General features: G+C 43.9%; 1 protein-coding gene across 86 annotated transcripts in view, besides 7 other annotated features; it reads right to left on the reverse strand.

The window, feature by feature from the left end:
* Positions 1-3646, reverse strand: part of SSBP2 (single stranded DNA binding protein 2) — a 339004-nt gene extending 335358 nt beyond the window's left edge. For 78 of the 86 annotated variants that reach the window (NR_174559.1, NR_174539.1, NR_174533.1 and 75 more), the window contains exon 1: positions 2820-2936. Coding sequence is in view for 33 of the 86 variants with exons in the window: in NM_001400364.1 (NP_001387293.1) it covers positions 2820-2881 (62 nt within the window). In the remaining 53 variants the exon portion in view is untranslated. Of the gene's footprint in view, positions 1-2500; positions 2589-2641; positions 2688-2819; positions 2937-3506 lie in introns of those variants that run through there. The other 8 variants (NR_174563.1, XM_047417066.1, XM_047417062.1 and 5 more) reach the window with 4 other exon arrangements.
* Positions 1798-1957: a silencer, noted in NCBI's record as "silent region_16142". NCBI's record gives its function as "represses an Ori minimal core promoter by ATAC-STARR-seq in GM12878 lymphoblastoid cells {active_cell/tissue: GM12878}" and the evidence as "EXISTENCE:reporter gene assay evidence [ECO:0000049][PMID:35858748]".
* Positions 2178-2227: a silencer, noted in NCBI's record as "silent region_16143". NCBI's record gives its function as "represses an Ori minimal core promoter by ATAC-STARR-seq in GM12878 lymphoblastoid cells {active_cell/tissue: GM12878}" and the evidence as "EXISTENCE:reporter gene assay evidence [ECO:0000049][PMID:35858748]".
* Positions 2668-2717: a silencer, noted in NCBI's record as "silent region_16144". NCBI's record gives its function as "represses an Ori minimal core promoter by ATAC-STARR-seq in GM12878 lymphoblastoid cells {active_cell/tissue: GM12878}" and the evidence as "EXISTENCE:reporter gene assay evidence [ECO:0000049][PMID:35858748]".
* Positions 2888-3217: a silencer, noted in NCBI's record as "silent region_16145". NCBI's record gives its function as "represses an Ori minimal core promoter by ATAC-STARR-seq in GM12878 lymphoblastoid cells {active_cell/tissue: GM12878}" and the evidence as "EXISTENCE:reporter gene assay evidence [ECO:0000049][PMID:35858748]".
* Positions 3488-3837: a silencer, noted in NCBI's record as "silent region_16146". NCBI's record gives its function as "represses an Ori minimal core promoter by ATAC-STARR-seq in GM12878 lymphoblastoid cells {active_cell/tissue: GM12878}" and the evidence as "EXISTENCE:reporter gene assay evidence [ECO:0000049][PMID:35858748]".
* Positions 6645-6730: a transcriptional cis regulatory region, noted in NCBI's record as "candidate enhancer chr5.2009 targeted for multiplex CRISPR interference". NCBI's record gives its function as "positively regulates SSBP2 gene expression in K562 cells {active_cell/tissue: K562}" and the evidence as "EXISTENCE:mutant phenotype evidence [ECO:0000015][PMID:30612741]".
* Positions 10664-10969: a transcriptional cis regulatory region, noted in NCBI's record as "candidate enhancer chr5.2010 targeted for multiplex CRISPR interference". NCBI's record gives its function as "positively regulates SSBP2 gene expression with high confidence in K562 cells {active_cell/tissue: K562}" and the evidence as "EXISTENCE:mutant phenotype evidence [ECO:0000015][PMID:30612741]".

Consider the following 14725-nt stretch of genomic DNA (forward strand, 5'->3'; position numbering starts at 1 on the left):
AAAACCAATGTGCTTATTTCCTAAGCATGCTATTATTTATAATAATGACTCCTTTTGCAGAATGTTTTTGTTAAAATGAGTATTTGTTACAGAAACAAATTATTTCTGTGATTTTTAAGATAAGAACAGTTCTAATTTGCTTACTAAAGGAGAATTCTTCACCTTTTATAATCTGTTACCTTAAAAATTAAGAACAAAAATCTGGTGACATCCATTTTAATGATGACTTCAAGATTCCTACCTTCAGATGTTAGTACATTGTTGCAGAATAGTGCCATTAAAGTCCCAAGTAAACATAAAGAGAAAAACCGAGAGATTAGATCAACTCTCCCACCAAGATGAAATTAAGTTTATTCTATAAGACAGAACCTACGTCGATGTTTGTCTTAGATTCAAACAACATTAACCTAGAAATTAATGCAACGACAATTAACCCAGAACAGTCATTGTCAATTCTCCAAAAGCGGCCTCTTCACCTATATTTAAGTTCATAAGGCAAACCAGTCAAGAATTCCTGCTGCCAATTGAAATGAATGGAAGAAATATATTTAAATCAAATAGCACCATCTAGCAGAACCCTGATCTGCTCACGAGAGTAGATATTACTTGGTGTTCAGTTTGGTAGATTTGACAGCAAAGTGGCAATTATTTGTTTTCCTGGTGGGAAATCACAGAATTAGAGCTAGAAAGGACCACAGTTATGCAAGTTCCAACATCCTTGTTATTATCTGAGAAACTAAAAAAAAAAATCAAGCAGTCCTCAGGATACTGAGTGGGATTCAACTAAAGTTCACCCCTTCCTGGAAGTTCACCTAAAATCTAAAATTACTTTGATTCTCAAATTCAGTCACCCCCAAAATAAGATCATGCCTCAATACATTTCAATCACTCTGACTAATGTGAAATTCAAATATTCTGTGATCATTAAAACATCCTCCTTCAGATGTTTTTATCAGGCACATTATAACAAAATGATTAATGCACACAAATGAGACTGCATTTCAAAACTTCAATTCTAGTAACTGCCGTTTCTTAACCAGGCTATAACGCTATGTCTTTTATATACTACTTGTCACAGCAACAAGATCCTGAATGCAGCTCAGAAAATATCTCTTGCAAAAAAACAAAAAAGCCTCTCTAATTTTTGTTTTGTTTTGTTTTGCTTTGCTACATCAAGGCCTGATACCTCTAAATCCTATGGGAATTGAGTGTGTTGCTGCCAACACAAAGATTAGGAAATGTTCCCATCCCTAGGGCACACAAAACTTTCAGGGGGAGACTAACTGCCTAAACCAAGGAGGGAAACTCAGTCGCCTGCGCATTCGGTTTTTATTTACGCAGCTATTTCTGTGCGCAAGGTAACCAAAGTACCTTTGAGAGATGCTCTCAGACTTTTTCTCTGGTCTGAACCCCCTCAGAAAGACAGGGTGCGTTCAACGACAAGGATAACTCTGACCCTCAGAGTTTAAGTGGTTACTGGGAATCACTGATCTGTTGCACAGTTTAAAAAAAAAAGGGGGGGGTTCTTCCTCAGTGATCACAGTCACTATTCGTTCTCATTTTTAGTAACAACCAAATCACCGTTACAAGTACACAAGAATAGCAGCAAACCGCTTTGCTTTGCAGTGTGCCGTGACAGTGGCATCCCGGGCCGGGAGGGGCTCTGTTCTCGCCAGCCGCCTCTTGGGCTCCCACCGAAGTTAACACCTGTATCTCCCCACAACTGTAACCAAGCGGCTCCTTCCCACCTGAACGCTTCTCCCCTCCCACAAACCCCTTTTCGGACCACTGGCCCTCCCCGCCACAGCTGCCCTCCTCGGGCGCCCCCGGCGGCTCCCACAACTCCCCTCCGCGCGCCCCCGACCACCGCCCCGCCGGGCCCGCCCCTCCCGCCGCTCGGGGGCTGCCAGCCTCACAAAAAGTTCGCCAGCCGCCGCCGCGGAGTTGGGTCCGCTGCGAGAGGCAGAAACGCCAGCCTCCTCCAGCGGATCCCGCTCCTCGCCAACACACTTTAGCTCCCCGGGAACTCGGTCCCTCTCCGACTCCCAAACTTCGGCGGCGTCTCCGGCGCCCACCCGCCCCCGCCCCCGCCCCAGCCCCAGCCCCAGCCCCGCGATGCGCGGGGGACTGCGGGCGCCGCGTCCGTAGCTGGCCCAGGAAAGCCCGGACGCCCAACCCGCACACGCCCTCCGCGCCCCGCGCGCGTCTCCGCGCCCCGCGGGGCCCCGCTCGGCCGCTCCACGCCCGGCTTCCGCCCGCCGCGCGCCCGGCACCGCCGCCCTCGCCTCGCCTCGCCCCGCGCTCGCGGCCCTAAGCCCCAGCGCCCAGGCCCCCGCCGCCGCGCTCCCCGCGCTGCCCGCCCCGACCCCGGCCCCGACCCCGGCCGGCCCGCCAAACACCCACATTCCCACTGCGCGCCTTCCTCCACGCAGCTGCCCCTCCCGCCACCCCCGGCGGCTCCCCAGGTCCCCGGAGCCCCGGACCCCAGCTCTAAAGTTACTTTGGAAGGTGAACCCGCGGGTTATTTCCCTCAATCACCCAAACAAGTTTCCATCCTCGCCACCAGCACCACCGCCGCCCCTCAACACACCCGGTCCCTCCCGCCGACAGCCCCCTGCGGCCGCCCGCCCAGCGCCCGCACCTCCCGGGAAAGCGCAGCTCCCCGCACCACACGCCCCCATCGCGGCACCCCTCCCCCTGCCAGCCCACCCCCGGCGCTCCCCGGGCGGAGAGTGTCTGTGTCTCCCAGAGTGTGCGAGTGCGTGCGTGAGTGTGCGCGCGTGTGAAGGCGGAGGTGGGTGAGAAGCGGAGACACTTACTTCTCCCGGGCCTGGCTGTCGGACGGGACGGCGCTGCTGTTACTCTTGCCTTTGCCGTACATGCTTGTGCCGAGAGCAGCTCCCACTGTCACGCACCTGTCAACCCATCACAGCCTCCCCGGGAACAGCCCCGTCCCCATGGCGACCCACGCAGCCACCCCCACTATTGGCCGCCCCACGCCAAAGCTCCGCCCCCTTCGCCCAGGCAACGCGCGAGACTGACAGGCCTCCCCCTCCCTCTGGCCTTCCGAAGCGCGCGGTGGCGGCTAAGCCTCAGCGGCAGTCTCCTCCCTCCTTCCCTCCCTCCCCGACTCCCTCCCTCCCGCCTTCCCTCTCCGCTCTCCTCCCTCCACCCGCTCTCCTTCCCCCTCCCCCCTCCGAACCCGGGCGCAAGGGGGGAATTAGAAACTGCTCTAGAAGGATTTTAAACAACTGGCTGTTCTCTCCGCCGCCACCCCTCCCCCCGCGCCGCCCGCGCTCAGCTCCTCACTGGAGAGAAGGCGCCGGGAGGAGGAGAAACTGCGGCCTGGAGTCTCCGGCCGGAGCCGGCGGAGCTGGAGCCGTGGCGGCCCCAGACTTCGGGGCGCCCGCCGAGTCCACGACAGAGCCACGGCCTCAGCCGCCCTGGGGCCCCCACCAGCCCCTCTCCCGCTCCTCTCCTATGCGTGACCCCGCGCCGGTACCCACGATTGATTTTTGCGGTCCTCAGCCCTACTCCCTGGGGTGTCGCCCCCGCCCTGTTCCCAGAGGGCCGGCTGGCGAGGGACACCCGCGCGGTTCCCTCGACCTTCTGGCTGAGCGACCGACAGCGACTCGCCTTCTCTCCTGGGGAAAGGCTGCACCTCCGGCCCTCGGCGCCGCTGCGGTGGCGGCGCCCGGGGCCGCGCCCTGCGCCCCAGGGGAGCACCCGGCCTGGGGTCGGCCTCCTCTGTAAGAGGTGAGCGGACCTCCCGAGGAGGCCCGGTGACTCCTGCGGCCGCAGCGGCCCCTGCCCCAACCCCTTCTTGCACGGAGCCCCGCGGCGCCCTGGACACCCCGCCAGATCTGCCGCAGAAGAGGGCCCCAGGCTTCCCCACCCGGCCTGGTTTAACAGTTTGGGTCAGTGATGCCTATTCATCCTGACCCCTGGAGTGGAAAAGGCCAGAAAAGGTCTTGAAAGACTTCCCTGTCCTTGCCCGTTAGAATAGGCCCCAGCGCGCTCCAAGGTGTACAAAGCTGTGCCAGGGCTGAAAGGCTGCCCGAGAATGTTTCTGTATCCAAATCCCTAATCCCATTTCAGTAAACGCGCAAAAGTTTCAGAAACACACACAATCTGGTTCCCAGTAGAACTCTGCATCATTTATCTTATTGAAGTCCTTGACTGTAAAATCAGACGGGTGCAAATGGGGTTAGAAAGAAGATGGGCTTCACACGGGGAAGAAGGGGACAGATGGGGTGGGACAGGGCGACATCTGGAAAGGATGAATAGACAAGAAGTAGCTATGGGAGGAGAGGGAAATCGGATTCGCGTGGAGGAAGGTACCGTTCTATTCCACACACACACAGCTTTAAGCATTTAGTAGGAGGATCATAAAATGCATATGGAGATATACAGATAGATGGAAAGGAAAGAAATGGGTGTGAGCATTGACAGAAGTGATAGGAATAAAACATCAACAGATGATTAAGGAAGGGCAGTTAGCAAAAGTGAGAGGTCGAGAATCAAAAACGCGGTTGGCAACCAGACATAAAGACGGGAAAATGAAGAGGAAGGACTTTCTATACTGGTGTTAATGACAAGGAAAAAAACATGAGGAAAGTGAGGTATAAAAAGATGAGAAGACTAGAAGATACAGGATTAAATGAAGAAGCCATAGAGTGTGATAGCAAAAGATTAAAAGTAATAGAGGACAGACATTATCGTTAAAAAAAAGATATAAGAAAAAAAGCACTTTTATTAAAAGGACAAAAATTAAGCCAATAAAGGAAATGAGGGGGGAAAAGTGGGGGAAAAAAATACACTGGCTTAAGTAGATTAATTTCCAAGAGATGTAATTTGCCATTTCTGACTTAAGAATTCTTCTGTCAGTTTCTAATGACCTACAGTTATTGGGTGGTTAGGATATGGCATTCATATTCTTCTTTTTGTTTCTAATGACCTGCAATGATTGGGTGATTGAAGCGAAGCTGAGCCAGTCAGCCTCTCTTAATGAACTTTTGCTCAAAATGCTCAAATGTGTATAAGGTTGCCACAGTTTACAGACTCAACTTCAAGGTTAGCATTATGTAATTTTTTTGTTCAATTATCTACTTCCATTGGCCTTAACCCAGAAAATTTTTAGTATATCAAGGCTCCATCTCTTATAGAATACTCCCTATAAAGGTGCTGCTCAGAGAATGCTGTCAGTTCTCAGAGAGCTCTGGCAGCTTCTCAGACACCCTCCTGCCTGCCCCTGGAAAAACGAACCAAGGGTGGGCTTTGTCCTACTATCCAAAAACAAAGTAGGTATTATCCTTGCACTGGTGTTGGGACTCTCTTAACTATGGTTCTCAATCATGGCACGTTAGAATTGCCTTTATTTTCATTGTTGTTGGGTTTTGTTTGTTTGTTTATATACTAACTGGATCAGAAACCTTGGGGATGGACCCAGGTACCTGCATTTTTTTCATAAGCTCCACGTGGTTCTTGTGTATAACCAGGGCTGCCTGCCTTTGCTCTTCAGTATCCATTTAAAGACAGCCAATGGGTACCATAAGAGATTAGTACAAGACTTTTAGGTTGGGCTGTCCATTAACAAATGACCCTACTCAAAGCATTAAGATGTCTTTACAGTGTACTTTACTTTCTGCCACCAAGCCAACAAACTTGTTAATAGGACAAAAATGTATGCCCATATGTGTTCTCATAGTACAAGATCATGAATAGCCATGGTTTAATTTGCTATTTCCTATAGAGAAAGGAAAATGAAGAAAGAGAACAGGAGAAACTGTTTGCTGTCTACTGCTATAATTTATTCATTTGATTGGTTTTTACCCAGATTTGTTACATTTGGAAGTCCTATGGGTAATGGCATATTTTCTGATGTTTAAAAAATAAATAAATTATAGATCTGCACAGTGGGGTATGGAATTTAGAACAATTTGGTCTTAGTCTTTGGAAAGAATAAAATGCTAAAAGGTCTTAGTTCAGAACTTGCGAAGTTAATGTCAGAGTTACCTTTATAAGAATGTTCTCATCTGACAAATATACAAAGTGAAAACATGACTTTTATATGTATATGTATCCTGTATATAGTAACCTTAAAGCTTAAGTAATCAAATCAATTATCATTAAAACAGCTCAGCAGCTACCTGAACCATCTCTGTTTTATTTTCCTCTAAATGTTTTCACATGTAAATAAAATGCTTCTTTGCCCTTGTTCAAATTATGTTGAGTACAAAGAGTGTTCTTTGCATCAGCAACTGTATCTCCTGGGACCAATATTGTAATTAATGAGATTTGAAACACATATTCAGAGCCAAATTTGAGATCCCAGACACAAAAATGAAGATCCATTGTTTTGTTTTCATTTTTTAAAAAGGGAAAAGATTGGAGATTTAAAGCTTCCTAGTGTAGAGAATCACAATGTATTTTTAGAGTTTTTTTTTTAACCCACATATGAGATTGATGAATTTGGGGAGCCTGGATTTGGCATAGGGGAACCCTGACCAGCAATGTCACCAGAATGGAACATTTGGAATTGAGGTTGATTTTTTAAAAAAACTTTACTCTTTCAGATATAGAACATCACAATAACTCAATCATTAGGTCTCCCTCATCTGTACCCCCATTTCGTTTGGACACGTGTGCACAATTTTCTCTTTCTGGAACCTACATCTAATTCTTGGAAGTCTTTATCACTTTAAAACAGGCAGTTCATTATGCCACCCTGCTCAAGCTCTAGATTGACTATACATTTCTTTGATCCTAACTTTTTTTTCTGTAGAACATTAAGGTTAATAATGTCTACATTCTTACAGTGCATGAGACCTCAGAAAAGATTTACCTGTTATATACAACAAAGAGACCACCTCTTTATGTTTAAATGGAAGCTAATCATGAATTTAATTATGTGCATCATACAGAACATTTAGCTTATTAACTTAAAACCACTTAGAAATAAAAATATTTAGAAAAATAAACTAAACATTAAAATAAATTTTCTTGTTTTAGAGTAATATTCCCCAAAAATAAAACTGTTCTATTATTTATTTGTTTCATAAAACTAATCAGTTTATACAAATAACTCAGTTGCATTCATACCACTTTTCATTTCAAATCGTTTAACAGATATTCATTCATTATTACTCAATACATCCCAGTTAATTAGATTTCCCTAACCAGCTTTTTAAACTGGGTGAACTGAGTTCTAGATATATTCGTTAGCATTAGCTGATCCAAAAAGAAAACAGAACTAGTTCCAGAAGAAGAACTCCATGTTCCTGGCTGGCAGTCCTTTTCCCAGACCACGAAGCCACACCTCTTTCTCTCAGAAGTGACTATTCCACCAAGGAATGTGAGCAAGCTCTGAGATGTTTGTCATTCAGATTACCTTGTGAAACTTCACTCCCAGGCAGAAGAGACCAGCATGCTCAGATTCACAAAATGCTCAAATGCCATGTACCAAAGTAATGAAATGAATAGTCATTGCAACTATGCTACTGTGCAATTTAGTCACTTACACCAGAATAATAAATGAAATTGGGCCTCAAATTAACATTTTTTGACACACTATTATTGGTTTAACATCAGCTAATCTGAGGCAATGACTGTTTCCATAACCTATTGCCCTGGATTTTTTAAATCCCAATTTACATATTCATAAACACTTACCAATATGTTAGGAGACATGGTGTGCAGATCTGCCAGTTCCAAAGAGTTCCAGCCCTAGAGGGTCTAGTCTTTTTTAGCACTACCAAGAATGTAAAGTTTAGTGACTTGGAATAAAATAAAATTATCCTTATACAAAGAATTATATATAAGCTGAAGATGAAAAATGAAAAACCAGGGCTACCATGTATGGCAATTTCATATACTGTATGTAGCATTTTGCAAAACAAATTCCAAGTGTTGTCATGTTCACTGGCTGGATTTTTGTCATTAAATGTTGAGAGTTATGTAATAGGAAGTGTGCCAAAGAGTGTTCTTTATTCAAAAGTATTACTATTTTTTTTAGTGCATTCCTAAATCTTCACAATGGTTTTTCACCTAGTAAGGTTATGCCAATATGATATCTTTGCACTCTTGGAGCTAACAAAAGCCCCAGTCTCAAGAGGGAGGCTATGCAGCATTCCAGGCAGTGTCATTTCCTTCTGTTAGAAATGGAAACAGAGAAAAAAAACACCTACTTCATTTGCTTTTCATAATTTTCAAACATAATCAGATCCTCTTAACCAAGTATGGCAGGAAAGGAAGACGACGACATATTATACTACTATTGCATTTTGTTTGCCTTTAGATAGTTTTAAAATAAGTGGTTAAAAATACATTATGCCAAGTGAAATCTGCTTAAGACAAGGGCTGAATATTGCCATTGCCAATCATAAGCTATAAGGTATAAACAATCTTACCATGGTCATATACGCTTGTCAAAGATATAGAGGACACTACAAATTTTGGGAGTTAGGGCTGGTTCCTCAACAAGTCTTTGAAACCAACTGGCCTATGCCCTATGTATTGCAGTACAGTAAGTACAGTAGTTTTTTAAGATTTATGTGTATTCTGTGGTGGCAATTGCCACCTGCCAGCACCATCATATACCATTAGGTGATACATGTACAGTCAGATTCCTCATCAGAAAAATAATTTTACAGTGTCATTGTCTTCGAATGCTTTTCAAATGCTTCATGTTCTTTTCTTTGCACCTAAATTCTTCAGGCAGAGAACAGAAGGATCCCGCTGCCCTATGGTGCTGAGGTATTGACAGTAACAAGGCAAATTCCCACCAGCCTTGCCCAACTTCTAAAACCCATGTTGTCTGTGGTTTTGGAGGCCCACTTTAAAGAAGTTAAGAAAGAATATATTTCTGTCTAATGGTCGGTCTGCTACTACTATTCTGTGCTTACCTCCTGCACTGTCCTCCCTGTAACTCTCCTGCAATTTTCAGTTCTTTGAGGAGAACCTTAAACAATGTCTACGACTCCATGGATCCGACCTAAGGCTAAAGTTGTTGCACCTCTCTGGGTTAAAGATAGTTTTTGCCAAATATACTGACCTCTGGAATATTCTTCTGCGGTACTATTATTGACCCTGAGGTGCCCAGAAATTAGAGACTCGGGGGCACTATATCCATTTATCCTGGCTTTTCAGCCTAGTCTGGTTTCTAGAAGGGAGATAGCAAAGAGCGCACTGTGGGAATGGATGCAGGTAGTCTGGGGAGCAGTGTGGCCGGGGCGGGCCAAGGTCTGGGCACACTCTCCTATCACTCTGAAAGAGTTGTCCCCACACCCCAACTTTCCCGTACTGCTTCCTTTGTTCTTGCCTTGGCTTTTGTGTCCTTTTAGAAAATGCCAGTTCTGTTTCATAGTTTGGGTTTTTTCTTTATTCTAAAGAAGCATTGATCACTTGTTACACAAGGAGACACATTCATGCCCCAGGAATTCTCTGAAGACATAAGGAGCTTACCACAGGGTAATGAGCAGGTGAGGCACAGTACTACAACTTATCACCTTATCTCCCAGTTTATATATGTTACTATATATATTTCATATCATATATATGGCATATATATGTGTTTCATATGTATATAAGATATGTAATGGAATATATAATCTTTTGTACATATGTAAGATATGTAATATTATATATATATGGAAGGAAGAGGAAAGTTTAGTGGGAATATATGAAATTGGCCAGGCGCATGGCTCACACCTGTAATCTCAGCACTTTGGGCAGCCTAGGCAGGAAGATTGCTTGAACAGGAGTTCTAGAACAGCCTGGGCAATGCAGAGAGACCTTGTCTGTACAACAAATTTAAAAATTAGCTGGGCATGGTGGCACACGCCTGTAGTCCTAGCTACTAGGAGTTTGAAGCTGCCATGTGCTATGATCACACCAGTGCACTCCAGCCTGGGCAATAGAGTAAGACCCTGTTGAGAGAGAGAGAGAAAGAGAGAGAGAGAGAGAGAGAGAGGTAGAAGGAAGAGAGGGAAGGAGGGAAGAAACAAAGAGAATGAAATCACTATTTTTGTAAGTCAAAGGTGACTGCTGGCAACATTATATGGTTCAACCATGCAATAATTTCAGTTTTTGCATCCCATGCTACAGACTGCTTATGTGTTAACACGAACTAACATGTATTAAGCTCATACAATGTGCCTGGCACTAAGTGTTTTACCTACAGTGTCTCAATGCTTTTAACAACGCTTTGAGGCCAGGCATAGTGGTTCACACCTGTAATCCCAACACTTTGGAAGGTCGAGAATAACTTGAGCCCAGGGGTTACAGAATAGCTTGGGAAACATAGCAAAACCCCATCTCTACAAAAAAAAAATTTAAAAAATTAGTTGGGCATGGTGGTGTGCACCTGTAGCCCCAGCCACCCAGGAGGCTGAGGTGGGAGAATCACCTGAGCCCAGCAGGTCAAGACTCAAGTGAGCCCTGATTGTGCCACTGCATTCCAGCCTGGACAACAAAGGGAGACCCTGTCTCAAAACAAAACAAAAACAAACAAACAACAACAACCAAAAAAACCACAATCCTGTGAGGTGTTATTATTTGCACACTTTTTTCTGGTTCACACAACCAGTAAATAACCAGATTGAGATTTACATGCAGCCTCCCTATCTCATCAAACCTTTCAGGAATCTGACACACAAATTTTTCCAACCATCCCTACCCCTTAAGGTTTACTCCTTCATGTACTATGATTCTAGAAGGACAAACTTTTCTGTGAATTCAGGTTGGGTTAAATACAGTTGGGCCACTCAAATAGGGCTTATGGATATCATTTCAGCACAGCCGGCCCCTAAACCTCCTGATTAGATCAGAAACAACAAGCCACATCCTGCTTTATTGGAGACTCATCTTTCCTCAGGTCCATCATTTCCTCCGATTTTCACTACTATAAGGTGAGTATTTTGGCTCCCTATAGGATACAATGGGGAAGAGAAATGATTTGGTGTGTATCCACTTCTCCTTCGATATTTAAAAGACATGTTTTCCAGCTGGGCACAGTGGCTCATGCCTGTAATCCCAGCACTTTGGGAGGCCGAGGCGGGCGGATCATGAAGTCAGGAGATCAAAACCATCCTGGCCAACATGGTGAAACCCCAGCCTAAAAATACAGAAATTAGCCAGGCATGGTGGAGTGTGCCTGTAATCCCAGCTACTTGGGAGGCTGAGGCAGGAGAATCTCTTGAACCTAGAAGGCGGAGGTTGCAGTAAGCGGAGATTGCGCCATCACACTCCAGCCTGGTAACAGAGTGAGACTCTGTCTCAAAAAAAAAAAAAAAGGGTTTTCCTTACTCCTACTAAGTTGATCAGCTCATGTCTTCTTTCCAATCTTCACCGTATTCATTCTTCTTCAAGTCGATCACATTTCCCAGCTCCATGTGGCTGTGTGATCTGTGGTATGTAAAACCTGAAAACAAAGAGCTTTGTTTTAATTCACATTCTGCGTAGGAAAAGGGAAACTTGGGCAGTACCATTCGTTAACTGGATCACTGCAAATAAGAGCCCTACCTCTGGAAATGGTCAAAAACGGGTCCCCTGCATCTAAATCAGCAGGTTGCAATTCCTTTTGGGTTTTTTGTTGTGTTGTTTTGTTTTCTGTGTGGTTTTCGTTTCCTCATGGATTATTGTAGTTCACTGTTACTTTTTCTTCTTGCCTTGTTTTTCGGGCTTCACTTCCTCCTTCTATTGTTATAGCTGTCTTTTTCCTCTCATCACATTTCCTGTTGCCTTTCCAATTCGGTGGGGCCCCATCCAAATCACTCACTGCCTGGCTCCAGAGTCGTCTTGGTCTTAGGGGAAGAGCAATCTTATGCCAAATAGTTCCAATCCCTGGGACATCAGAAGAAGGATCCCAGGGACTCAGTATCCCAAAGTTTTCCTTTATTGATTTGATACTAGAATGAAATCCAAGTGTGCCTAATTAGGACAAGAAAATATTCGTCCTCTTGGCTTCCTAGCCCCAGACCGTTCTGAACTCTGACAGCACCAACATCCATCAAATCAAACAATGAAATCAACTTTGGTTACTTAGCATAATAGAAATAAACTTGTAATATTCTATTAGTGAAGGATCAATGTCTCCTGTCTTGAAAATAAACATCAGAGCTTGGCCTCAACATTTATATAGCAGCAGGAGACCATTATTTTGTGGCAACATTCGATTACATTGACATCAAGACAGATTTATTAAATTAATAAATAGTACATGATTTTCAGCCTTTCATTTCCAACCCTCACCACCACTACCCTCCCCAAGGTGATCTTCTGAAACTCTTCATCCATTTTGTTGATGTCTTATTTATAATCTCTATTTCTTTTTTGCTATTTGTCAGTTTACATCCAAAAATATTTTAAATACCCATTTTTAGATAGAAAATTTAAATTAGTTATTAAGAACAACGTTAACAATAAGGAGTTTCATCAAATTGCTAATTGTTAAAATGTTTCACTGGCGTGGTATCTGAAGAGGTATTATTTCAGATGTGCTCTTCCAAGTCCTAAATGTGGCTAATGGCAAAGCTCACAGTTCCTGCTGCCTCTTTTTCTGACTTCCAGCCTCAGGGCCTTTGCCTTGGCTATTTCCTCTGTCTGGAATGCTCTTCTCTCTGCTCTTTGCATGGCTGATTTTTTTTTTCTCCTTAGTCAAGTCTTCTGGAAGATCAATTCCCCAGAGAGATTTTTCTCTGAGAGTCCTTTCTAGAGTGCTTAGTGCCTCATCCTCAGTCACTCCTCATCCTGTCGTTTCGTTTTATTTTCTTTATAGTCACATGTCACTATCTGAAATGGTCATGGTCTGAATTACTCATTAGCTCGCATACTTTATAGAGGCAGCAGTCTTATTGTTCTTCTTCTCTGGGGTACTAGAGTCCCAAAACCCAGAATTGTACCAGGTACACAGTGGTTCTCAATAAACAAATATTCATTGACTGAATGAATAAATGAATAGATTACTCTAAAAATATCACACAAGATTGACCTGAGACCTTATCTCTCTTAGATATTTGCAGCATGCAATCTTTCCTGCCCTCTACCCTACCCCCACCATCTAGGGGCTCCTTGTATTCTTAGAAACAACGGTGATTGAACAGAAAGTGTCAGCGCACATTTAGATTTTAGGCTTCTGCTCTTACTCCAATTTATTGTTCCAGCATCTAAACCAATTTAGCAGAGTTGTGGTGAGCAGGACATGAAAGAGAGAAATATTTCCTCCTCTTTTCTATCATCACAGATCTAACTTGCTTGGAGTTCCACGTGGCTTAATGTTGCTGACAATAAGGAAACAAGTAGCACACAGTCAGCAGATTAAGTTTTCAGTAATAAGCTTTCATCATGTCACTCTCCTGCTCAAAAACCTCAATGCCTCCCCACTGCTTATAGGATAACTTCCTCTCCCCTCAGATTTGTATCCAGTATGATCCATCAGCACCTACAGCTTTTGGGAGATTAAGTAACTTAGGCATGTCTGTCTTCCCTACTAGAGTATGTACTCCTTGAAAATAGTCTATTCATTCAAAGGCATTTCCAGCTTACCTACATGTTGAGCTTGATATAGGGAAAATACATTGTTGAAGAAGACATGTCACTGCTTTCAAGCCTCAAAATTACCAATTCAGTTTGTGCCTTGCTTTTGGGAGCTACTTGCTAATGTTTCTAGAATTAAATTTTAGTCCCATTTGCTGAAGTCTGACAACCAGATTTGAATTCCCCGTTCCACCAATTATCAGCTGTGTGATCTTAGGCAAGTCATTTAACCTCAGTCTCATGAACTACAAAGTGAGATGATGTTACTACGTATTAGTGTTGTCATGAGGATTAAATGAGAAAATGCACATACTGGGTTTAGCACAGAGCTTGGCACATCATAAGTGCTTAGTAAATATTTATGAATGTTTTCTTCTCAGTAGAGCTTGTCTATAACCTATAGGGTCTGTAACCACACAAACACATATCTGATGCATACAACTCTCCTTACCTTGAATGGCTTTCCCTGTTCCCCTCTGACTCTAGCTCCTTTGTTAGTCATTCTCTGCACTTATAATCTGTATCAGATGAGATCCGGTGCATTCAGGATGGTATGGCCATAGACACAATCTGTATCATACAGACAAGCTGCCTTTTACTAGAACTTAACTTTTCCTGTGTCTTTTTGCCCAAAGACATAAAAACAGGGATATAAGAGCAGAGATAATGCTATGATTTTCCAGCAGTGCCCAAGATAGTCCCGTACTGATAGAATGTACCCGCTAACTCATTTTTGAATGTAGCGAATAGTATATGTAACACCAAATTCAACAGCCTTTTTATGGGTAGCAGTTAGTCATTGTAATGATATCCTTTTGACTTTCACAGATTCAAGGGTGAAAACTGGAATTTTGATGTCATCTAGTCACATCTGCAAAGGAGTTCCCACAATGTCCCTAGATTCCAGTAAAGATATTCTTTCTTAACTAGTGATACAACTTAAGTACTTTTCCTCACTGAATCAGCTGTAGCAATGGGGGGAAAAATTAGTCATCATTCTCCTAATAATAAGCCTACATATACTTTAAGACAGTCATCAAGTAATCCTCTTCTCCCAAATGAACAATCAAAATATTTATTTGCATAGCTAATATCACAAACGGTGTAGGCAAACAGACAAAGTCGCTCTCCTGTGAATACTATTAGCTTGTAGTTCACGGTTTAGGTGACTGTTCCGGAGTGAAATAAAAAC

The sequence above is a fragment of the Homo sapiens genome, chromosome 5 (genome assembly GCF_000001405.40).
Source record: "Homo sapiens chromosome 5, GRCh38.p14 Primary Assembly".
Classification (NCBI taxonomy): Eukaryota; Metazoa; Chordata; class Mammalia; order Primates; family Hominidae; genus Homo; species Homo sapiens.